At 44.6% G+C, this 23,765-nt stretch overlaps 8 annotated features.

Moving 5' to 3' along the window:
* Positions 3,742-4,242: an enhancer, noted in NCBI's record as "H3K27ac hESC enhancer chr14:96441645-96442145 (GRCh37/hg19 assembly coordinates)". NCBI's record gives its function as "activates a minimal SCP1, AML or CMV promoter by ChIP-STARR-seq in primed H9 embryonic stem cells {active_cell/tissue: H9 hESC(primed)}" and the evidence as "EXISTENCE:reporter gene assay evidence [ECO:0000049][PMID:30033119]".
* Positions 6,864-7,381: an enhancer, noted in NCBI's record as "OCT4-NANOG-H3K27ac hESC enhancer chr14:96444767-96445284 (GRCh37/hg19 assembly coordinates)". NCBI's record gives its function as "activates a minimal SCP1, AML or CMV promoter by ChIP-STARR-seq in naive H9 embryonic stem cells {active_cell/tissue: H9 hESC(naive)}" and the evidence as "EXISTENCE:reporter gene assay evidence [ECO:0000049][PMID:30033119]".
* Positions 8,084-8,585: an enhancer, noted in NCBI's record as "NANOG hESC enhancer chr14:96445987-96446488 (GRCh37/hg19 assembly coordinates)". NCBI's record gives its function as "activates a minimal SCP1, AML or CMV promoter by ChIP-STARR-seq in primed H9 embryonic stem cells {active_cell/tissue: H9 hESC(primed)}" and the evidence as "EXISTENCE:reporter gene assay evidence [ECO:0000049][PMID:30033119]".
* Positions 20,842-21,399: an enhancer, noted in NCBI's record as "H3K27ac hESC enhancer chr14:96458745-96459302 (GRCh37/hg19 assembly coordinates)". NCBI's record gives its function as "activates a minimal SCP1, AML or CMV promoter by ChIP-STARR-seq in primed H9 embryonic stem cells {active_cell/tissue: H9 hESC(primed)}" and the evidence as "EXISTENCE:reporter gene assay evidence [ECO:0000049][PMID:30033119]".
* Positions 21,958-22,515: an enhancer, noted in NCBI's record as "OCT4-NANOG-H3K27ac-H3K4me1 hESC enhancer chr14:96459861-96460418 (GRCh37/hg19 assembly coordinates)". NCBI's record gives its function as "activates a minimal SCP1, AML or CMV promoter by ChIP-STARR-seq in naive and primed H9 embryonic stem cells {active_cell/tissue: H9 hESC(naive and primed)}" and the evidence as "EXISTENCE:reporter gene assay evidence [ECO:0000049][PMID:30033119]".
* Positions 21,958-23,073: a biological region, named in NCBI's record as "OCT4-NANOG-H3K27ac-H3K4me1 hESC enhancers GRCh37_chr14:96459861-96460418 and GRCh37_chr14:96460419-96460976".
* Positions 22,226-22,520: a silencer, noted in NCBI's record as "tiled region #471; K562 Repressive non-DNase unmatched - State 24:Quies". NCBI's record gives its function as "represses a minimal TATA promoter and a strong SV40 promoter by Sharpr-MPRA in K562 cells {active_cell/tissue: K562}" and the evidence as "EXISTENCE:reporter gene assay evidence [ECO:0000049][PMID:27701403]".
* Positions 22,516-23,073: an enhancer, noted in NCBI's record as "OCT4-NANOG-H3K27ac-H3K4me1 hESC enhancer chr14:96460419-96460976 (GRCh37/hg19 assembly coordinates)". NCBI's record gives its function as "activates a minimal SCP1, AML or CMV promoter by ChIP-STARR-seq in naive and primed H9 embryonic stem cells {active_cell/tissue: H9 hESC(naive and primed)}" and the evidence as "EXISTENCE:reporter gene assay evidence [ECO:0000049][PMID:30033119]".

Genomic DNA, 23,765 nt, shown 5'->3' on the forward strand with positions numbered 1-23,765 from the left:
AGAATCTGCCAGAACTAAGAATAGGCCAGGGACAACCTGTGTATTTAATAAAGCCCTGCATCAGGAGTGCCAGCCTGGTGAAGCATCCCCTTGGCTAATGAAGGAAGGCAGAGAGATGGCTGTGGCAGGGCTGGGATCACCAGAACTTGCCTCTCAGATGTGCTAGACACACATGCACCCTCACATGCACACATAGGCTGCTATGGTTTGAATGTGTCACCAGATTTTATGTGTTGGAAACTTAGTACCCAAATTCATATATTGATGGCATTAGGTGGTAGGGCCTTTGGGAGATAAATAGGATTAGATAAGGTCATCAGGGCGGGGCCCCCACGGGGGGACTGGCGGCTTTATAAGAAGGGGAAGAGAGAACTAAATTAGTACACTCCTTCTGTCTTGTCATGTGATGCTTCCCGCCATGTCATGAGGTAGCAGGAAGGCCCTCAGCAGATGCTGATGTTATGCTTTTGGATTTCCCAGCCTCCAGAACTATAGGATAAATAAACCACTATTCTTTATAAATTACCCAATCTGTGGTATTCAGTAATAGCAACGGAAAATGGACTAAGACACATGCATATACACACATGACATGTACACATCATGTACACACACACACCAGAAACATACACACATGCACATCCACACCAGACATGCCACACATACACCACATACATACATACACATGCACACATAACCATGATACACATACACACAAATAACACACACACATACAACACACACATGCACACACCCCACACACAAACTCACTGTGCATAAACATACATATGCATGCATGCACACACACCACAGATGCACACACATACACACATACATATGCCACACATACACACAAACAGCACACACTTATTCATACCACACATGTGCACACATCACATGTAGGCACACACATGCACACACATCCCCACATACATACATGCACCAAACACATAGACATACACATGGATACATGCACACACACCACACATGCACACGCATACCACACATATACATATACATGCACACAGACACACAAACAATGTACAATTTAATACTATCTTCAACTTGAATGTTTGCTGGACTCAAGTCAAACAGCTTTAGCATACGAGCAAAGAATAAGAACTTCCCAGTTAATGACTTTGTATTTTTTAAAAACTGTTTTTAACTCTTGGCTCTTGTATGTTGCACAAGTAGCTTTATGCTAGCAATCAAGCAAATGAGAAAGATGGGAAACATTCACCCAGAATCCCTCTAGTCCAGTCCAACACTTTGTTTTAATTTTTCCACATCTCTCCTCATCCCTTTGTCAGATGAAGGCATATTTTACAAAGCTCCAATGTTTTTCCACTTGTCTTTTCCTGTGTTACAACATTACCTTCAGAACTATTGTTATCAGCCAAAATTTGTTCCATCAAGTGGAGATGTCTTAGTTTACTTTGTTGGGTAAATATCTCCACTGCTGTATGTCAGGACTCTGAGCCCAAGCTAAGCCATCATATCCCCCGTGACCTGCACATACGCATCCAGATGGCTGGTTTCTGCCTTAACTGATGACATTCCACCACAAAAGAAGTGAAAATGGCCTGTTCCTGCCTTAACTGATGACATTATCTTGTGAAATTCCTTCTCCTGGCTCATACTGGCTCAAAAGCTCCCCTACTGAGCACCTTGTGACCCCCAACTCCTGCCCGCCAGAGAACAACTCCCCTTTTCCTTTACCTACCCAAATCCTATAAAATGGCACCACCCCTATCTCCCCTTGCTGACTCTCTTTTCGGACTCAGCCCACGTGCACCCAGGTGATTAAAAGGTTTATTGCTCACACAAAGCCTGTTTGGTGGTCTCTTCACATGGACGCACATGAAATTTGGTGCCGTGACTAGGATCGGGGGACCTCCCTTGGGAGATCAATCCCCTGTCCTCCTGTTCTTTGCTCCGTGAGAAAGATCCACCTACAACCTCAGGTCCTCAGACCAACCAGCCCAAGAAACATCTCACCAATTTCAAATCTGGTAAGCGGCCTCATTTTACTCTCTTCTCCAACCTCCCTCACTATCCCTCAACCACTTTCTCCTTTCAATCTTGGCACCACACTTCAATCTCTCCCTTCTCTTAATTTCAATTCCTTTCATTCTCTGGCAGAGACAAAAGAGACACGTTTTATCCATGGACCCAAAACTCCGGCGCCGGTCACCGGCAAGAACCCCATCCCTTCTCTCCGTGTCTCTACCCCTTCTCTGCTTTTCTGGGGGAGGGGCATGAACCCCTCAACCCCTTCTCCTTCACCCTTAGTGGCAAGTCCCACTTTTCTGGGGGAGAGGCAAGAACCCCTCAAGCCCTTCTCCTGCACCCTTAGCGGCAAGTCCCGCTTTTCTGGGGGAGGGGCAAGAACCCCTCAACTCCTCCTCCTTCAACCTTAGCGGCAAATCCTTCTTCTCTGGGGGAGGGGCAGGAACCCTGACATCTTATCTCTGTGCCCCAATCTCTTATTTCTGCACCCCGACCTCTTATCTCTGTGCCCCAACCCCTTATTTCTGCGCCCCACCCCCTTCTCTGCTTTTCTGGAGGGCAAGAACCCCTCACCCCTTCTCTATGTCTTGACTCTCTTTTCTCTGGGCTTGCCTCCTCCACTATGGGAAAGCTTCCGCCTTCCATTCCTCCTTTTCTCCCTTAGCCTGTGTTCTTAAGAACTTAAAACCTCTTCAACTCTCACCTGACCTAAAATCTAAGCATCTTATTTTCTTCTGCAATGCCACTTGACCCCAATACAAACTCAACAGTAGTTCCAAATACCCGGAAAATGGCCCTTTCAATTTTTCCATCCTACAAGATCTAAATAATTTTTGTCATAAAATAGGCAAACGATCTGAGGTGCCTGACATTCAGGCATTCTTTTACACATTGGTCCCTCCCTAGTCTCTGTTCCCAATGCAACTCATCCCAAATCTTCCTTCTTTCCCTCCCACCTGTCCCCTCAGTCCCAACCCCAAGCATCACTGAGTCTTTCTGATCTTCCTTTTCTACAGACCTCTCCCCTCCTCGCCAGGCCAAGCTAGGTCCCAATTCTTCCTCAGCCTCCGCTCCTCCACCCTATAATCCTTTTATCACCTCCCCTCCTCACACCTGGTCCGGCTTACAGTTTCGTTCCATGACTAGCCCTCCCCCACCTGCCCAGCAATTTACTCTTAAAAAGGTGGCTGGAGCTAAAGGCATAGTCAAGGTTAATGCTCCTTTTTCTTTATCCCAAATTAGATAGCGTTTAGGCTCTTTTTCATCAAATATAAAAATCCAGCCCAGTTCATGGCTCGTTTGGCAGCAACCCTGAGATGCTTTACAGCCCTAGACCCTAAAAGGTCAAAAGGCCGTCTTATTCTCAACATACATTTTATTACCCAATCTGCTCCCAACATTAAATAAAACTCCAAAAATTAAATTCCGGCCCTCAAACCCCACAACAGGACTTAATTAACCTCACCTTCAAGGTGTACAATAATAGAGTCGAGGCAGCCAAGTATCAACATATTTCTGAGTTGCAATTCCTTGCCTCCACTGTGAGACAAACCCCAGCCACATCTCCAGCACACAAGAACTTCCAAACGCCTAAACCGCAGTGGCCAGGTGTTCCTCCAGAACCGCCTCCCCCAGGAGCTTGCTACAAGTGTCAGAAATCTGGCCACCAGGCCAAGGAATGCCCACAGCCCGGGATTCCTCCTAAGCTGTGTCCCATCTGTGTGGGACCCCACTGGAAATTGGACTGTTCAACTCACCTGGCAGCCACTCCCAGAGCCCCTGGAACTCTGGCCCAAGGCTCTCTGACTGACTCCTTCCCAGATCTTCTCGGCTTAGCAGCTGAAGACTGACACTGCCTGATCACCTCAGAAGCCCTGTAGACCATCATGGATGCCGAGCTTCAAGTAACTCTCACAGTGGAGGGTAAGTCCCTCCCCTTCTTAATCAATACGGAGGCTACCGACTCCACATTACCTTCTTTTCAAGGGCCTGTTTCCCTTGCCTCTGTAACTGTTGTGGGTGTTGACAGCCAGGCTTCTAAACCTCTTAAAACTCCCCAACTCTGGTGCCAACTTAGACAATACTCTTTTAAGCACTCCTTTTTAGTTATCCCCACCTGCCCAGTTCCCTTATTAGGCTGAGACACTTTAACTAAATTATCTGCTTCCCTGACTATTCCTGGACTACAGCTACATCTCATTGCCGCCCTTCTTCCCAATCCAAAGCCTCCTTTGCATCCTCCTCTTGTATCCCCTCACCTTAACCCACAAGTATAAGATACCTCTGCTCCCTCCTTGGTGACCGATCATGCACCCCTTACCATCTCATTAAAACCTAATCACCCTTACCCCATTCAATGCCAATATCCCATCCCACAGCATGCTTTAAAAGGATTAAAGCCTGTTATCACTTGCCTGCTATGGCATGGCCTTTTAAAGCCTATAAACTCTCCTTACAATTCCCCCATTTTACCTGTCCTAAAACCAGACAAGCCTCACGAATTAGTTCAGGATCTATGCCTTATCAACCAAATTGTTTTGGCTATCCACCCCATGGTGCCAAACCCATATACTCTCCTATCCTCAACACCTCCCTCCACAATCCATTATTCTGTTCTGGATCTCAAACATGCTTTCCTTACTATTTCTTTGTACCCTGCATCCCAGCCTGTCTTTGCTTTCACCTGGACTGACCCTGACACCCATCAAGCTCAGCCAATTACCTAGGCTGTACTGCTGCAAAGCTTCACAGACAGCCCCCATTACTTCAGTCAAGCCCAAATTTCTTCCTCATCTGTTACCTATTTCGGCATAATTCTCATAAAAACACATGTGCTCTCCCTGCTGATCGTGTCAGCTAATCTTCCAAACCCCAATCCCTTCTACAAAACAAAAACTCCTTTCCTTCCTAGGCATGGTTGGATACTTTCACCTTTGGATACCTGGTTTTGCTATCCTAATGAAACCATTATATAAACTGACAAAAGGAAACCTAGCTGACCCCATAGATCCTAAATCCTTTCCCCACTCCTCTTTCCATTCCTTTAAGACAGCTTTAGAGACTGCCCCCACCCTACCTCTCTCTGACTCATCCCAACCCTTTTCATTACGCACAGCCGAAGTGCAGGGCTGTGCAGTTGGAATTCTTACACAAGGACTGGGAACGCGCCCTGTAACCTTTTTGTCCAAACAACTTGACCTTACTGTTTTAGGCTGGCCATCATGTCTCCATGCAGCTGCAGCTGCCACTCTAATACTTTTAGAGGCCCTTAAAATCACAAACTATGCTCAACTCACTCTCTACAGCTCTCATAATTTCCAAAATCTATTTTCTTCCTCACACCTGATGCATATACTTTATGCTCCCCGGCTCCTTCAGCTGTACTCACTCTTTGTTGAGTCTACCACAATTACCATTGTTCCTGGCCCAGATTTCAATCCGGCCTCCCACATTATTCCTGATACCACACCTGACCCTCATAACTGCATCTCTCTGATCCACCTGACGTTCACCCCATTTCCCCACATTTCCTTCTTTCCTGTTTCTCACCCTGCTCACACTTGGTTTATTGATGGCAGTTCCACCAGGCCTAATCACCACACACCAGCAAAGGCAGGCTATGCTATAGTACAAGCCACCAGCCCGCCTCTTAGAACCTCTCATTTCCTTTCCATTATGGAAATCTATCCTCAAGGAAATAACTTCTCAGTGTTCCATCTGCTATTCTACTACTCCTCAGGGATTATTCAGGCTCCCTCCCTTCCCTACACATCAAGCTCAGGGATTTGCCCCCACCCAGGACTGGCAAATTAGCTTTACTCAACATGCCCTGAGTCAGGAAACTAAAATACCTCTTGGTCTAGGTAGACACTTTCACTGGATAGGTAGAGGCCTTTCCCACAGGTTCTAAGAAGGCCACCATGGTCATTTCTTCCCTTCTGTCAGACATAATTCCTTGGTTTGGCCTTCCCACCTCTATACAGTCCGATAACAGACCAGCCTTTATTAGTCAAATCACCCAAGCATTTTTTCAGGCTCTTAGTATTCGGTGAAAACTTTATATCGCTTACAGTCCTCAGTGTTCAGGAAAGGTAGAACAGACTAATGGTCTTTTAAAAACACACCTCATCAAGCTCAGCCAACAACTGAAAAAGGACTAGGCAATACGTTTACCTCTTTCCCTTCTCAGAATTCAGGCCTGTCCTTGGAGTGCTACAAGGTACAGCCCATATGAGCTCCTGTATAGATGCTCCTTTTTATTAGGCCCCAGTCTCATTCCAGACACCAGACCAACTTGGACTGTGCCCCAAAAAACTTGTCAACCCTACTATCTTCTGTCTAGTCATACTCCTATTCACCATTCTCAACTACTCATACATGCCCTGCTCTTGTTTACGCTGCCAGTTTACACTGTTTCTCCAAGACATCACAGCTGATATCTCCTGGTGCTATCCCCAAACCGCCACTCTTAACTCTTAAAGTAAATAAATAATCTTTGCTGGCAAGGCTATGCGAACCTCCTTAGGCACTCTCTAATTAGATGTCCTAGGTCCTCCCAATTCTTAGTCCTTAAATACCTGTTTTTCTCCTTCTCTTATTCCGTTTAGTTTTTTAATGCATACAAAACTGTATCCAGGCCATCACCAATAATTCTAAATGACAAATGTTTCTTCTAACAACCTCACAATATCACCCCTTACCACAAAATCTTTCTTCAGCTTAATCTCTCCCACTCTAGGTTCCCACGCCGCCCCTAATCCCGCTCGAAGCAGCCCTGAGAAACATTGTCTATTATCTCTTCATACCACCCCCCAAAAATTTTCACCGTCCCAACACTTTACCACTATTTCATTTTCTTTCTCTTATTAATATAAGAAGACAGGAATATCAGACCTCTGAGCCCAAGCTAAGCCATCATATCCCCTGTGACCTGCACGTACACATCCAGATGGCCGGTTCCTGCCTTAACTGATGACATTCCACCACAAAAGAAGTGAAAATGGCCTGTTCCTGCCTTAACTGATGACATTATCTTGTGAAATTCCTTTTCCTGGCTCATCCTGGCTCAAAAGCTCCCCTACTGAGCACCTTGTGACCCCTACTCCTGCCCGCCAGAGAACAACTCCTCTTTTCCTTTACCTACCCAAATCCTATAAAACGGCCCCACCCCTATCTCCCTTTGCTGACTCTCTTTTCGGACTCAGCCCACCTGCACCCAGGTGATTAAAAGGTTTATTGCTCACACAAAGCCTGTTTGGTGGTCTCTTCACACGGACGCGCATGAAACTGTATCTTTTTAATTGTTTGCAAAGATTTGCCACCATACATAACAGCACAGGGAACATTTTCGTGGAGAGGGGTTCTACTGTTTTGGAGGCTGGATTGGTGGGTGGATGGATGGGAGAGGTTGAACTGAAATTTCATCTTTGTGGGACTCTTGAAGAAACCCAGAGATGGCGCGAGGTACTCACAGAGTGAGAGGCTGAGCTAGGAGGGTCAGCCACCCAGCTCCCCTCCAGCCAGAGCTTTGCTTTTGTCTCTTAGATGTTAGACCTTGGCAGACAGTGTTGTTTCACCAAAAAGTGGCACTGCTGAACATATATTTGAAACTCAGAGGTCAGAATTAGACCTAAGCAGATTCCTATCCAGCTCCCTTTTGTTCATTAAGGCATATTATCATTCATGAATGGGCATTGCATTTAATTAATCATTCATTCAGCACTTTTTGAAGATCCATTCTGTGCCAGGCTAAATTCCAAAGGTAAACATACAGACAGGGAGTCCCTGCTTAACTGGCCCCAGTTTAGGTCAAGTGAGAGAGACACCGTAATGATGATCATGATAAAAGTTCACATTTATTGGCTTTTTACTAGTCACCAGTATATGCCCTTGTTTAATTCTCATAAGAGCCTTTTAAGGTTTTACCTGTGATATGCCCATTTTACAGATAAGGAGATTGAGGCTTAGTTATAAGCCAAAGGTCCAGGGGTAATAAGTGTCGTGCTGAGCTCTCTACTGCCATGCAACCCTGCATCTCTTGAAGAGGTGACTTGTCAAACCATATGACAATGGCAGCATTGTGCAGTATAAACCATACAGTGCTTTACAGTGCTATGCCATATAAACCCTGGAACATGACGTGCTTTCCAGGGCAAAAACGGCAGAAGTGACAAGGAGGAGAAATTTCCCTGACAAAGAACAATGGAATGCGGGGCTTTAAGCATAACAAATCCTTTTGGGCTCTTTGAAAAACTGGGTCAGCTCCCAGTGCTGAACACCCTCTTTGCCTGGGGTTTTCTACCTGGAACTGTGTGCAGACGTCATTACTGCCCCCCAGAGGACTGAATGGTCTGACAATGCTCCCCAAAGTTAATGACGAAAAATTATGCAAAATCTCAAGGAAATGAGAATCAGGGAAAATGTCTGTCACTCCATGCCACCATCCTTCCCTTTGGGGCTAAAGTTTTGAGACATGAAAACCAATCCATTTTAACACAAACCCCACGGATGCTTCTGGGAATGAAGAAAAGGCTGCATTTGCAAGGAGATAAAAGAAGGTAAGGTGGGTCCTCTTTGGCTCTGTTCTCTCCCCGTTACAGATTTCTGAAAAGGCATCATTTGGGGGACAGGAAACAGCTTGGGATCTAGCTACCAACTCAGAGTGTAACCTTGGGTGTCTCACTTCCTCTGGATGGCTCTTAGCCTCTCCTCTTGGGTCCCATGAAGGCATTAGACCAGGTGTTACAGTCCGGGCTGTCCAGAGAAACTGAGCCAATAAGAGCTATCTTACCTTTAGACACACATTCTTTATGCATATCTTTATATACTTATATATCCATATCTATGTAGATATATAGGTATCTATATATGCATAAATTATATATTTTATGTATGTATTGTGAAAGGAAAATCTTGGGGCCCCCAAATTACTAAGCCACAAGGAAAAGTCAAGCTGGGAACTGCTCAGGGCAAACTTACCTCCCGTTCTATTCAAAGTCATCCTTCTGCTCGCTGAGACAGATGCATACCTGATTGCCTCCTTTGGGAAGGCTAATCAGAAACTCAAAAGAATGCAACCATTTGTCTCTCAACTACCTGTAACCTGGAAACTCCCTCCCTGCTTCGAGAACCAACGTATTTCTTACATATATTGATTGATGTCTCATGTCTCCCTAAAATGTATAAAATCCAGCTGTGCCCCGACCACCTTGGATGCATGTCATCAGGACTTCCTGAGGCTGTGTCACGCGTGTGCATCCTCAACCTTGGCAAAATAAACTTTCTAAGTTAACTGAGACTGTCCCAGATATTCAGGGTTCACAGTATGTACAATACAAATTTTATTTATATATACACATGTGTATACATACCTCCATATATATTTTATACATTATACATTCCTATATTTTCATATATTTATAATTTATATGTACACATATAGAGAGAGATTTATGTGAAGGAATGGGTGGGAGCTGTTATGGGGGCTGGCAGGTCTGGTATCTGTAGGGCAAGCCAGTGGACTGAACACACAGGCTCAGGTCGAAGCTGTAGTCTTCAGGTAGAATTTCTTCTCCAGAGAACTTCAGTTTTTACTCTCCAGACCTTTGACTGATTAAATGAGGCCAATCTATATTATGAAGGATAATCTTTTTTAGTTAAAGTCAACTGATTATGACTGTCAACCTTATCTACAGAATATCTTCACAGGAGCCAACACCTGGATTGTAGTTGATTAAATAACTGAGTACTAGAGCCCAGTCAAGCTGACTCACGAGGCTAACATCGAACCAGGTGGTCTCCAAAGTCCCTTCCAGCTGAGAAGGAGCAGAGACTCACTGATCCTCTGGGCCCCAGCGATACTAGAAGAAGCAGGGGATGCCCCTGGAATGGGTCTGTTGAAGCCTCCATCGTTTCTCACACTTCCCAATCCACTAAGCCCAGTGCAGGCTCCGGAGAAGGGAGCCTGGTCCCCACCCCAGCTCTGCCACACAGCACCTAGGAGCTCTTAGGACTAAAACCTGGTCTTCTCACCTGTCAAAAGGGGGATAAATGGGGCCAGGTGTGGTGGCTCATGCCTGTAATCCCAGCACTTTGGGAGGCTGAGGCCGGTGGATCACCTGAGGTCAGGAGTTCGAGACCAGCCTGGTCAACATGGTGAAACTCCTACTGAAAATACAAATTAGCCAGACATGGTGATGGGCGCCTGTAATCCCAGCTACTTGGGAGGCTGAGGCAGAAGAATCGCTTGAACCCCAGAGGTGGAGGTTGCAGTGAGCCAAGATCGCACCGTTGCACTCCAGCCTGGGTGATAGATAGAAAGAGTCTCAAAGGTGGGGCGAGGGGGGATAAATGGTCCCCACCTCAAAGACCATGAAGGGTTAAAGGAAATGGTATTTGTGAGCTCCTTAGCAGAGTAACAGGCACATCAAAAGTGCTCAGAAAATCTGTACTCAAAACCCCAATACCCACAGCCTGAGGAGCCAATTACTCTCCTCTTGTTCTCTCTAAAACCCCCTTCAATCAGGCTGACACCTCTGCCCCTCCCCCAAAGTTGCTGTGGTCAAGGTCAGCTGAGCCATCAGCAGCAGTGCTGCCCTGGCGGTTCCCTCACTCCTGGAAACACTCCCTTGCTTTGATGTCCCGAGTCCAATACATGACCCCATCATTCCTCCTGCTTCCCTGGCTGCTCCCCTCCCCTCCCCTTGGTTGGTCCCTCCTCATCACCCGCACCCTGCACCTCTATACCTCTTCCCTGCTTAGTTTTATTCAATTGCTACGTGCAACTTGTTTATTTTCCCTGGCTCCTCCCACCGTGAATCCGTGAAGGCAGGTGCTTTGACTGTTTTGTTAATTACTTTACCCCAGCGTCTAGAAGAGTGCCTTGTGCATGGATGTTTGTCAGTGGACGAATCAATACATGTGATTGATGATGACAATGGTGGCAATGGCAGTGACGACATGACGAAGTGTGCACATACCCTAGATGCTGTTCAAACAACACCCAGTTTGGACGGAACAAAGGTGTGCAGTGAAAAGTATATAAAGAGGATGTGATCAAATCTGACTTCTCATCCCAGTACCCTCTGTTCATTACAAGTAGCTTAACTCACCTGAGCTGGATTCATCCCAGAGATTTAGACAATATCCAGCCCAAGAACCAAGGGATAGTCAGATTCTACTTCTAACTGAAGAAGGTAAGTGCACCCACCCATACTTGGAGAACTCTCTTCCCTGAGATAAGCTGGCTTGACCGGCTGGAGCCGAAATGGCTGCCCTGTTCCCACACTCGCCTGCTGATGGCTTGTGTCTGGGCTTACGTCTCTTTTCCCCGGACCCTGCCCCTAGCTCCTTCTCCTTCTTCGGCTTTCCCCAGCCTCTCAGCTTCCAAAGATACTGCCTAGAGCCCTTTATAGCTGCTTTCTTTCCCTTCTCATTTCTATTCCTGCCTTATTTCACCGGCATGTACACTTTACTTATTTTACAGCGAGCCTACAATTTTGAATCCAGCTTTTAGTCTTAACATCATGGCCTCCACATTGTATGCAGTTGCAGAATGTTCTCATTTTTATGCCCCAGTAAGTGTGCTGATTGGATTATCCATCACCCACTCAGTGTTGGAGCTGGGCTCTGTGCTAGGTCCGTCTCGGTTTCCAAGGAGCTTGCAGCCTGGCTTCAAGATTTCATGCCCACGCTAGCTTAAATAGTCCTTATTATTGGATGTTTGGGGTTTGTTCAGATATCCCCTTTGGTAAATGATTCTGGGATTAATATCGTTGGGCATAAGGGTTTTCCCAGTTTGGGGGTCGTTCATTTCTTTGACCTTTTATGGAGCACCTCTATACTGTCAGCCGGTCTGCATTCAACTCGACAACATCCCTGCATTCCCATCCCCTTCTTTGCTGCATCACAACCAAATTTCCCAGAGGCATCTTTAAATGAGGTTTCTGCTTCATTTCTACAAATGAGAAGCCCTTGCTTGACACATGGCAGGAAAAAGAGAAGAAGCTGTTCCTATTCAAAGGAATCTGAGGATAGGCAGCTGGGATCGTCAGTACCAAATGCCCTTTGCTTCTTGGTGTCCACTGCAGTCTTCCTGCTCCAGGGATGTGGGCAGCTGGGATCACCGACGGTGCCTTTGCTGTAAAACCCAAGCCTTTATACTACCTCGGATGGATGATGTGGTGTTCCTCTCATATCCTCTCTTCAGGGGGCTGATGGGTCACAGTTGTATCCCTCACTGGACATTGCCCTCCCCGTGGGGTTTGGCCTTGCCCAAGCTTACATCCTTTCCAAAAGAACGGCCAGTAGCCAGTGGCTGGCCAGTGCCTAGATACAAAGGCCCAGCTCTCTTTTTCTGGTTTGAGACAACACTGAAGACCATCCCAGCTCCAGAGCTCCCCGTAAGACTGGCTGAGGCTTTGCAGCAACCACACTGCGAGTCAGCATCTCCTTCCACCCAGTCCTCCTTCCTCCTTTCCTTACAGCTGCATCCCCAAGACACTTTTCAGTAAACCTTCTATATACAACTGTCCTTCTCAGAGCTGTTTCCAGGGAACCCCTAGACACTGATCTTTGCTGCCCAAGCTCTTACAATGATCACATAAGCCATACAATTTCAGAGTATGTATTTGCTATGGCAACTGCACTGATTATCTTGATGAAAACAGAAATTGAGGCTGGAAGTAAAGCTCTGTTATGGCAACAAACCTAAAATACGTGATACTTGCTTCATTGTGGGGTGACAGGCATTGAGGAAAATTATAACTTAGGAAGCAAATATGTCAATTCATGTTGTCCTAAAACACTACCATGTGTGGTGAAACCTGCCTATGGTTATTTCGGAAGCAGACCATGTGCTTACTAAATTGACAACTCTAGGGTTGGACTTGGAAAACATGTCTTCAGTGCTATGTGTTGGTTGCTATTGGCTGCATTCATAAGGTATTATAAGAAGAGATGAGCTTACAGTGAAAAAAAAGTTGGGAGGAGGGGAGCAGAGAGGGAGGAATAGAGAGAATCCAGAAATGTGAAGATTAGACCATGAAAAGCCAAGTGCTTCTGGATCCCAAACAGGAAGACATGGAGCAAAAAAGTCTTTAAGGTATAAAAGCTCAACCAAATTTCCCTGTAAAGATCAATTCATGGCAAAGATCAGAGTAAGGGCAGGATTTTCCTACCTACTACTCCAGATGACTTCAGTGGCGCGTCCATTGAGTTGGGTGGGGCACAGGGCAAGGGAGTGAAGAAATAATGCAGATTGAGAACCAGTTTTAAAATAGTTTTTTGGGTGCAGTTACTGATGCATGGATTTGGCTGGGAGCAAATAAATCACGAGTGTATAGCATACCTCAAAGATACTGTGGGTTTGATTTCAGACCACCGCGATAAAGTGAAAACCAAAATCAAGTGAGATACATGAATATTTTGGTTTCCCAGTGCATATAAAGTTATGTTTACACATGCTGTAAGCTATTAGGTGTGCAATAGCATTATGTCTAAAAATGTACATACCATAATTTTAAAATACTTTATTGCTGAAAACTGCTAACAAATCATCTAAGCCTTCAATGAATTGTAATCTTTTCATTGGTGTAGGGTCTTGCCTTGATGCTGAAAGCTGCTGACTGATCAGGGTGACGGTTGCTGATGGTTGGTGTGGCTGTGACAATTTATTAAAATAGACAAACATGAAGTTTCCCATATCGATTAACTCTTTTCTTCACAAAATATTCTCTGTAGTATTGTATGCTCTTAGATAGCATTTTACCCACAGTAGAACTTCTTTCAAAATTGAAGTCAGTCCTCTCAAACCCTATCACTGCTTTATCAACTCATTGTATGTAATATTCTAAATCCTTTGCTGTCATTTCAATAATATTCAAAGCATCTTCACTGGGAGTTGACTTCATCTCAAGAGATTTTAGCAATTCACTGATATCTTCAAGTTTCCCTTCTAATTCTAGTTCTCTTGCTGTTTCCACTACATCAGTAGTTACTTCCTCTGCAAAGTCTTGAACCCCTGGAAGTCATTCATGAGGGTTGAAATCAATGTCTTTCAAATTCCTGTTCATATTGATATTTTGACTTCCTCCTATGGATAAGGAATGTTCTTAATGACATTTAGAATGGTGAGTGTTTTCCAGAAAGTATTCAATTTACTTTGTCCAGATCCATCAGAGGATTCACTATCTATGGCAGCTATAGCCTTATAAAATGTATTTCTTAAATAATAAGACTTGAAAGTCAAAATTACCTCTTGATCCTTGGGCTGCAGAATGGATGTTGTGCTAGCAAGCATCGAAACAATATTCGTCTCCTTGTACAGCTCCATCAGAGCTCTTGGGTGACTAGGCTCGTTGTCAATGAGCAGTAATATTTTGAAAGGAATCTTTTCTTATGAGCAGTAAGTCTCAACAGGGGACTTAAGATACTCAGTAATTTATTCAGTAATCAATTTCATTAATTTCTCCTCTTCAGCTATGGAAGTCCTAGATGGCCTTTTCTTCTAGTAGAAGGCTGTTTCATCTACACTGAAGCCACCTTCATCAGTGGTCTTCTGGATAACTTGCTGCAACTTCTACATCAGCACTTGCTGCTTTCCCTTGCTCTTACATGTTATGGAGACAGCTTCTTTCCTTAAACCTCATGAACCAACCTTTGCTAGCTTCCAGCTTTTCTTCTGCAGCTTCTTCACTTCTCTCAACCTTCACAGAACTGAAGAGAGTTGGGGCCTTGTTCTGGGTTAGGCTTTGGCTTAAGAAAATGTGGCTGACTTGATCTTCTATTCTTATCACTAAAACTTTCTCCATATCAGCAATAAGGCTGCTTAGCCTTCTTATCTTTTGTGTGTTTACTGGAGCAGCACTTTTAATTTCCTTCAAGAATTTTTCCTTTACATTCACAACTTGGCTAACTGGCCCAAGAGGCCTAGCTTTTGGTCTGTCTCACTTTTTTTGACATGCCTTCCTCACTAAGCTTAATCATTTCTAGCTTTTAATTTAAAGTGACAGACGTGTGACTTTTCTTTTCACCTGAATGCTTCAAGGCCCATTGTAGGGTTATTAACTGGCCTAATGGCAATATTGTTATGTCTCAGGAAATAGGGAGGCTTGAGGAGAGGGGGAGAGATGATAGATCAGCTAATCAATGAAGCAGTCAGAACACATGCATTTATCAACTAAGTTCACTGTTTATGGCACCCCAAGACAATTGCAGTAGTGACATCAGAGATCATTGATCACAGATCACCATAACAGATATAATAATGAAAAAGTCTGAAGTATTTTGAGATTACCAAAATGTGAAACAGAGACACAAAGTGAGCACATGCTGTTAGAAAAATAAGACTTGCTGAACACAGAGTTGCTATAACCCTTTAATTTGTAATAGATGGAATATCTGTGAAGTGCAAAAAAGTGAAGTGCAATAAAATGAAGTTTATACTTGTGCTACATTTTTGAGGGTCATGTTACCAAAGAACCATACAGACAGACTGAATAAGACCTTCAGTCTTCAAGCCTTAAGGCTTGTACCAAACTTTTAGAACAGCAGTCCATAAGGAGGGCTTATTTCTCAATGCCTGATTCATGTGCTACCAAGGAAGCTTACAAAAAAAGAAATAACCTCATGGGTAGAACCAGGCTCATGGAGAAAAGTGAACAAAGCAGCATCTCTCAGAGAGCAAAACTAGAGCCTAATCATGGATGCCGAGGATATGGGCTTTCATGACGTCTGCCCAGTGGGATTTCAGAATTGCTATGGACAGTGACTCTATGTACTTCCCATCCTTCCCTTTTCCAAGTGGGAGGTGCCTATTGAGGCCATATTATCTCAGTTTCATCATTATATATTGGAAGCAGGGTTGGCAGGTGACTTTTTTTTTTTTTCCAGTTTTGGTATCCTTGGACCAAAAGGAGCCACATGCGAACTTGCTGGGAAGAAGGCCAGACATCACCCAGAGATCTGAGTTTGAACTGGATGTGGTGACTGGGGGAGATTTTAGAGGAGGGGTTGAGTGAGCTCTATGTGGGGGCAGAAAGAAATGAGAAGACAGTGATGAGAAGGGCACGCTCAGCAGAGATGGCATACACCAAGTATTCCATGTGCTTCTTTGCACTTCTCAGCCTCCCTTGCAGCTGGATTGAGACTGTGAATAATTATGGCCTGTGAATGCAAGTGGCATGTGTCTTTCTCTCTTGCAGAGGCAGTATATATCAAGTGACATACTAAAAAGTAGAAGAGACCCCCCTGAGCACATTGAACTTTACACAAGGAAAAACATAAACCTTTATTCCATGAAGTCATAGAGATTCCTGGGTTAGTTAGTTTCTGCAGCAGACCCTAGCCTGTCCTGACCAATATTCTGACTATGTGCTACTTTTCTTCAAGTCACTGAGTAGGAACAGATATTGAATAACAAAATAGCATGTTTAGGTAGTTATGAAGTTTCCAAATTTTAATAAAATTCTGATGCTCCTGGTCCCTGGACTTCTAGAACCTCTTCTGAACCAGTCTACAAGTTTGATTGCACTTATTTTTTCTGCTTTTATTTCTGAGCGTGAGGGAGGAGCTGGAAGACTCACTGATAGCTCTCTCTCCTCTTTCTCACTCTAGCCCTTCAGTAAACTGTGTGGGCTAGGTTTGGGGGGAACTTACATTATTTTATATTCTTTAATTTACTGAAATACTATGTATTTATATATAAATAATATACAACTGCATTTATAAATAGTATTATGCTAGAGGACACACTCACTGGACTTTCCTCTATACTCCCCAATCCTACATTAAGTTATATTCAGGTTTGAGGTCCCCCATGGGACTAGGTTGTTTCATTCCTTCATGCTTTGTCTGCACTCCTTCTTCTGTCTGGAACATCCTCTCTCCCCACCACCTTCTCCATACCCCAAACTCACCCGTTCATTTTCTCAAATTGGGCTCTCTCTGTGCTCCTGGGCTGACTAGACCACCCCCTCCTTGGTGAACCTGTGGTGCCTCCAGTACCCCAAACTCATCACAGGAAGGCCCTGTAGACATTTCCCTTCTGTGATAATTAATTCCATGTGTCAACTTGACTGAGCTAAGAGATGCCCAGATAGCTGGTAAAACATGATTTCTGGGTGCATCTGTGAGGGTGTTTCCAGAAGAGATTAGCATTTGAATGAATGGACTGAGTAGAGAATGTGGGTGGGTGACATCCAATCTGTTGAGGGCCCAGATAGAAAAAAATGACAGAAGAGGGGCAAATTCTCTTTCTTCTTCAGCTGGAACTTCCATCTTTTCCTGACCTTTGACATTGACTCCTTGTTCTTGGGCCCTCAGACTCCAGGACTTACACCAGCAGCCCCTCTGTTCTCAGGCCTTTGGACTCAGATTGAATTACATCACCAGCTTTCCTCGGTCTCCAGCTTGCAGATGGCAAATCATGGAACTTCTCAGACTCCAAAATCACATAAGCCAATTGCCATAATAAATCTCCTTTTAGATCTCTCTCTTGCTCTTTCTTTCTGTGTGTGTGTATATATATATATATATATATATATATATATATATATATATACACACACACACACACACACACCTATATATCTTATTGGTTCTGTTTCTCTGAAAAGTCTTGACTAATACACCCTCTGTCTTCCCTTCCCTTCTCAACTGTGGGGTCCTGGAGCCAATATCTGTGTTCTGTGGTCTCTGTTTCCCCTGCACCAGCACATCTCATTTTGAGTTATCCACTGGTCTTGGCTTGTGTGACTTTGGCTTTGGGAGGAGGAGTCCTTGGGAATTGAAGGCTCCTGCTATGCTGAGACCATGGGAGGTGGGGAGCTCTGACTATGCTGGTCCTCAAAACAGGACAACCAACCACCCCTTCGCTGCATCTCTCTGCTTTCAGGACTTGAGTGTTGCTCTTGAAAGTAAGGAAACCCAGGGAGAACGGTGAGGAAATAAATCCAAGAACTAAGAAAGGAGAAATCCCTAGATGAGCTCTCTCTTTGGAATTCCTCATGGAATAGGACAGGCCCCAGAGGACACTAACTCCACCAAGATCAGACATCTGAATGTGCTGAGCCAACTAAATTTATGCTCCAATTACCCTCTGTTGTTCCTCCTAGATGTTCAGTGAACTTTTTGGAAGTTCTTGTGGCCTCAGCACAAGGACTCCAAAAACAGGGGCTTGGTCTTATGCAAGCTCCATTATTCAAGGGTGACAGTATCCTCACGGGAACCTGAATAGCCAGAGACAGGAGAACAGGGACAGAGCAAAGGATGCCATGTGGACTGCCACCACCCCACACCTGCAGGTTTAAACACTGAGTATGTTTCAATAAGAAAACTGTTCCCAAAAGGCTCTTTGCAAGACCAATATGAAAACAAAGCCTGGATATATGCTGAGCAGTGACACCTGAAGTGAGGAGGCTCCCATATTTCTCCCTCATATCCCACACAGGCAGGGTAGTCATCTTCCCAGGGATCTCACCTATTATAGCTAGTGTTGCTGACCACCTGCTATCTGCTCTTCCCTGTTAGAAGTCACCCCTGCACCATTCCAAGTTTCCCACCGATTCGGCCAACACTGATTCACTGCCTACATGTACCAGGCACTGTGCTAACCACTGATGGTCTGAAATGAGTAAGGTGTATGCAGTAAACGGCAACATTTTAGAGGGCCAGCCTTCTAAAATGTGCACCATCCAAATGGCTAAGACTGATCTCAGCCCAACATGAGACAAAGGCCCAGATGGTCAATGTCCCCTTCCCATTTCAGTTTTACACTTTCCCTGTTGAGCAACTTTCCCTGAGCTGTTCTCAGGCACCAGTGTCCTCAAGGTACCCTGCAGAATTCTCCACCATCCTCCAGTAAGGAGCTGCACACCCTCATCAAAGCTGGCCAATCCACTGTCTATTTACCCAGAACTCAACTGACCACAAAACATTTGTTTTCTTCTTTGAAGCTCTGTAGACAACTCATTCACCCAACAAACACTTAAGAAGTCCCTTCTAGGTGGTGGTCACCCTGGAGTAGACCGTGGGGTACGATGAAAAATGAGACAGTGATACTGCCTTCAAGGAGTGAAGGCTCAAAGGGGCAAGGTGGACACACAGTGCCCCATAGCATGGCAGGTAAGATGGCAGGAGTCAGGACATGCAACAACATAAAGGAATGTAGAGTCAATGCATTCTGAGGACAAATGATTCCAGAGAGGCTTTGGGGAGGAGATTAAGCAAAAGGCATGAGCAGTTGTTCTTGGGTTTCCAGGAGAAGGGGTCAGCTGGGGGTTTGTGTAGAAAACATCTCTCAGGACCATGGCCATTGGCCTCCTAAAGGTTCACTGAAAAATCACTGGAATGAGACTGATGGATTAACTGGGGAAAAGGCATAAAATTATATTTAATTTTTATTCAGAATGAAGATCCAACTTCCCAACGAGCTACAGGAACTTATATATCATTTTGAAATTACAGAAAAAATGGGGGCTTGGATTCTGGTAAAACAGGTTATTGGAAGGGGGAGATGAGGAATTCTATTGAAGGGCAATAAGTGAGTGCTATGAAGAGTGATTGGATGGGGAACAGAGCTTACCTTGTAAATAGTAAATAGTTTTCTTTGGAATGCAGATGATCCTTGGACAGTCACTATGCTTGTAAAAGAGTCTGTTCAGGTGTAGTCACATCTTGGTCTTCTTTTCTGCAATAGATAATGAGATAATAGGGAGAGGAAGAAAGAACAGTTGTTCTCCTTGGTGGGTCTGGATTTTAGGTAGATAAAGAAACTTCAGCTTCTTTGGGAGAAATGGTGGAAGAAGGGGGAGGTCAGGGAGACCTGAGCCTTCTTCTGTTCAGCATGTCAAAATGCCATATTTTGGAGTATCAGTTTCTGAGCTCCAATACAACATTCAGCAGAAGGAAATAGCATGAGCAAAATCACAGTAGTATAAATTATCCATGGGAATTCTCCACATTCTAGATGGTAAGGGAAAGTCCAGTCATAATTGTTAAAATAATGAAATGGGAGGTCACTAGTTTGAGGTGGCTCTGACACCCTGGGTTCCTGTATAAGCCAACTGAAACCTAACTCAGGAATTAAAAGAAAACAAAACTTAAGCTCAACTAATCATAGGCAGCCAACTGGGCATTCGTTATCTTGTCTTAAACTTCCTATTAGGATAGTTCAAATGAGGCTATGACCACCCAATGAGTTCACCATGCCCACTGCCCAGATAGAGCCAATTTATCGAAACAGGGGAATTGCAACAGAGAAAGAGTTTAACACACATAGAGTCAACTAACCAGGACAACAGAGTTTTATTATTACTCAGATTGGCCTCCCCTAAAATTTGGAAGGTAGGATTTCTCAAAGATTGGGGTGCAGGGGGCTAGAGAATGGATGCTGCTGATTGGTTGAGTATGTAATCACAGGGGTGTGGAAAATGGTCCTCATTCTCTGAGTCTGCTTTGGGTTGGGACCATAGGATTGGTTGTGTGGAGAGTCACGGGTCTGGGTGGGGTCATCTGCTCATGAGAAATGCAAAAGTCTGAAAAGACATCTTAAAAGGCCAGTCTTAATTCTACAATAGTAATGTGATTTACAGGAGTAATTGGGGAAGTTGCAAATTTTATGACCTCTGGAATAATGGCTGGTAATCATTTAACTATAAATTCAGACCTCTCTCATCCTTCTAACTTGGTGACTTTTCATTAGTTTTACATAGGGGCTTTAGTTTTGGGGAAGATCTATTATCATTTAAACTATAAAATTTCTCCCAACCTTAGCTTGGCCAACACCTAGAAGTGACCAGGGCTCTTTGGAGGTTAAAGGCAAAATGGAGTTGGTTAGGTTGGATCTCTTTCACTGTTGCAATTTTCCCACTGTTATAATTTTTGCAAAGGCTATTTCAAGGCAATTGCTCAAACGTTAACTAATCAAATAATTTTTTTGCTCTGCTTCCACATTTGTTCTACAAAAGCCTTTCCTTCAAACCTCTTTGGCAAGCCCTGAACCATTTGAATTCTGGAGCTGCCCAGTTCATGGATTGTTGAATGCTCAAATAAGCTCTAATATTTTAATGTGCCTCAGTTTATCTTTTAACAAAATGTATGGTGTGTGTGTGTGTGCACATTTATGTGCTGTTGGGGAAAGAAGTACACAGGACAGGAAGGAGTAGGCAGGGGCCAGATTCTGCAGGGCTTGTGAGACATGTGAGAGAGAGGCTGGACTTTTCCCTGTGGACAGGAGTCTCAGACTTCACAGTGCATCAGAATCACCCAAGGGTCTATTACAGGCAGATTGCTGGGCTCCCATCAGCAGCTCTGGTTCAGTAAGGCAGGTAGCAGGCAAGGAGTCTGTATGTGTGATAGATGGCCAGGTGACCCCAGTGCCGTGGTCCTGGGAGCCCTGCATGTTATGGGAGAGGTAGAGCCTGTGGACATCACCTTGACGCAACCCCACCCTAGCTGACAAAATCAAAAGCCAATCACCTTTGGTAGAGTTCACGCTGTTACAGGAAAGGAGTCCAGATCCTGACCCCAAGAGAGGGTTCTTGGATCTCGCGCAAGAAACAACTAAGGGCGAGCCTGTAGAGTAAAGTGAAAGCAACCTTATTAAGAAAGTAAAGAAATAATAGAATGGCAACTCCATAGACAGAGCAGCCCCGAGGGCAGCTGTTTGCCCATTTTTATGGTTATTTCTTGATGACATGCTAAACAAGGGGTGGATTATTCAGGCCTTCCCTTTTTAGACCATATAAGGTAACTTCCTGACGTTCCCATGGCATTTGTAAACTGTCATGTTGCTGGTGAAAGTGTAGCTGTGAGGACGACCAGAGGTCACTCTCGTTGCCACCTTGGTTTTGGTAGGTTTCGCTTGGCTTCTTTACTGCAACCTGTTTTATCAGCAACGTCTTCATGACCTGTATCTGGTGCTGACCTCGTATCCCATCCTGTGACTTAGAATGCCTTAACTGTCTGGGAATGCAGCCCAGTAGGTCTCAGCCTCATTTTACCCAACCCTTACTCAAGATGGAGTTGCTCTGGTTCAAACGCCTCTGACAAAACCATCATCTCCTAAAATCAGGATTCAGGATTTCTGTGAGAATAAGGGCTCTGCCCATTCTGTGCTCCCACTCACAGACTCACAGACGAGGCTCTGAGACAGGAGGAGCTCAACGGCAGCTGCAGCCTGTATCTGTCAGTGGCAGAGCTGGGATTAGAAGCCTCGCCATCACCCCGCTCCACAGTGCCACAGCCACAGCCATGACTGTCGCAGAAAAGTCATCCCTGGCTCTCCACCAGCCTGTCAGGGCCCAGGATGGGTCAGCTGCTAGAGTCCCTGCTGTTCTGCCTGTAGGGCATGTTAACTGAATAGAGTGCTCTGGGGAGCCAGTGGGATGAGTCTGTAGTGAAGACAACTCAGGTGCTGTGACAGGAGAGAGTTACTGGCAGATCAGGTCTTTCTCCCAAGCCTCTAATCAGAGCACAAAAGAGTCATTCAGTCATCACTGAGAAAATTCCAACAAAGAATATCATTAAGTACTTTGCATTTAATAAAGGGCCTTTAAGTGCAATAGCATATATAAAGCCACCCTGGAGTGGCATTAATGGTCAGACTTTGGGTCTATGGAAAGCTAATTGAAATGTTTTTGGAGTCCCTGTCTGAGCCCTTCCAGCAACAGGAAACTCACTAGTCCTGAAGACAGATTGTTCTGTTTGGGGATGCCCCTGAGTGCAGTTCAAATTCCTTTTTGCCAGGCTCTTCAGCCACAGGTCTGTGTAGTATCCACAGCGGAAAGAGGTCTCTCCCCCGTGGGTCCCATCAGGAGCTAGGGAGAGAGGAGCTCTGCAATTGCAGAGTTCATTGTGTTCTGAGAAGGCAAATCATTTATTGTGGGGACAATTTAGCCAATTAGCAGAATTTAGCTAAAAGCATTTCTTATGCACCAGAGCCCCCTGCTGGCTAAATAGAAGTATTGATAGTCCTGCAGAAGGACCCTCTAAGTTGGAGCACTCCCAATTTAGGATATCCGGACTTTCTGCTGGTGGAATCAAATCACACACCTTCAAAATCTGTTGAGAATCGTGTGGCTTATCCCATAATGAGTTCCAGGGGTCAACTATTTAGGAGGTGGAGGGAGTTAATTAGAGTCCATTAGAGTCCTATTTCACTCAGGACACTGAGATGAATTCCCAGATGAATTAAAGAGTTACATATTAAAATATAGAATACTAAAAGAACCAGGAGAAAATAAATATGGATCCATATTAATTTGATTCATAATGGAAAATACCTTATAAATGTAGAACCAAAGTAAGATTTTATAAATGAAAATATAAATAGATTTGGCAAGGGAAAAGACGTTTATTTCTTCATAGCAGTCATCTTAGACTGAAACAGACCTAGGATGGAGACTTGTGTGCAGGAGGTTTATTGGGAAAGGCTATTGGAATGGCACCTGCAAGAGAATGAGTAGGACAGGTGGAGGGACACATTGAACGGCAATGCAATAGCAACAGGGCTGAGGATGGCCCCTTCAGCTGTCCTGAATTAAAGTCAAGGGCTCAGAGCTTTGTGTGTCCTAATGGCCCAATCATTGGATGTGAGATCCACTAGGGAGGCAGCTTCCTTAGGCAAGGACAATTCCTAGGGAAGGACTCTGCTTGAGCCATGAGCAGGCAGCACTCCTGGCAGCTGGGGAAATAGGTGCCTCTATCCTTCACTGGGAATCTGGGTGGCACACTACAGCATCCACTACACCCATGCT

This window comes from Homo sapiens, chromosome 14 (assembly GCF_000001405.40).
Source record: "Homo sapiens chromosome 14, GRCh38.p14 Primary Assembly".
NCBI classification, from domain to species: Eukaryota; Metazoa; Chordata; class Mammalia; order Primates; family Hominidae; genus Homo; species Homo sapiens.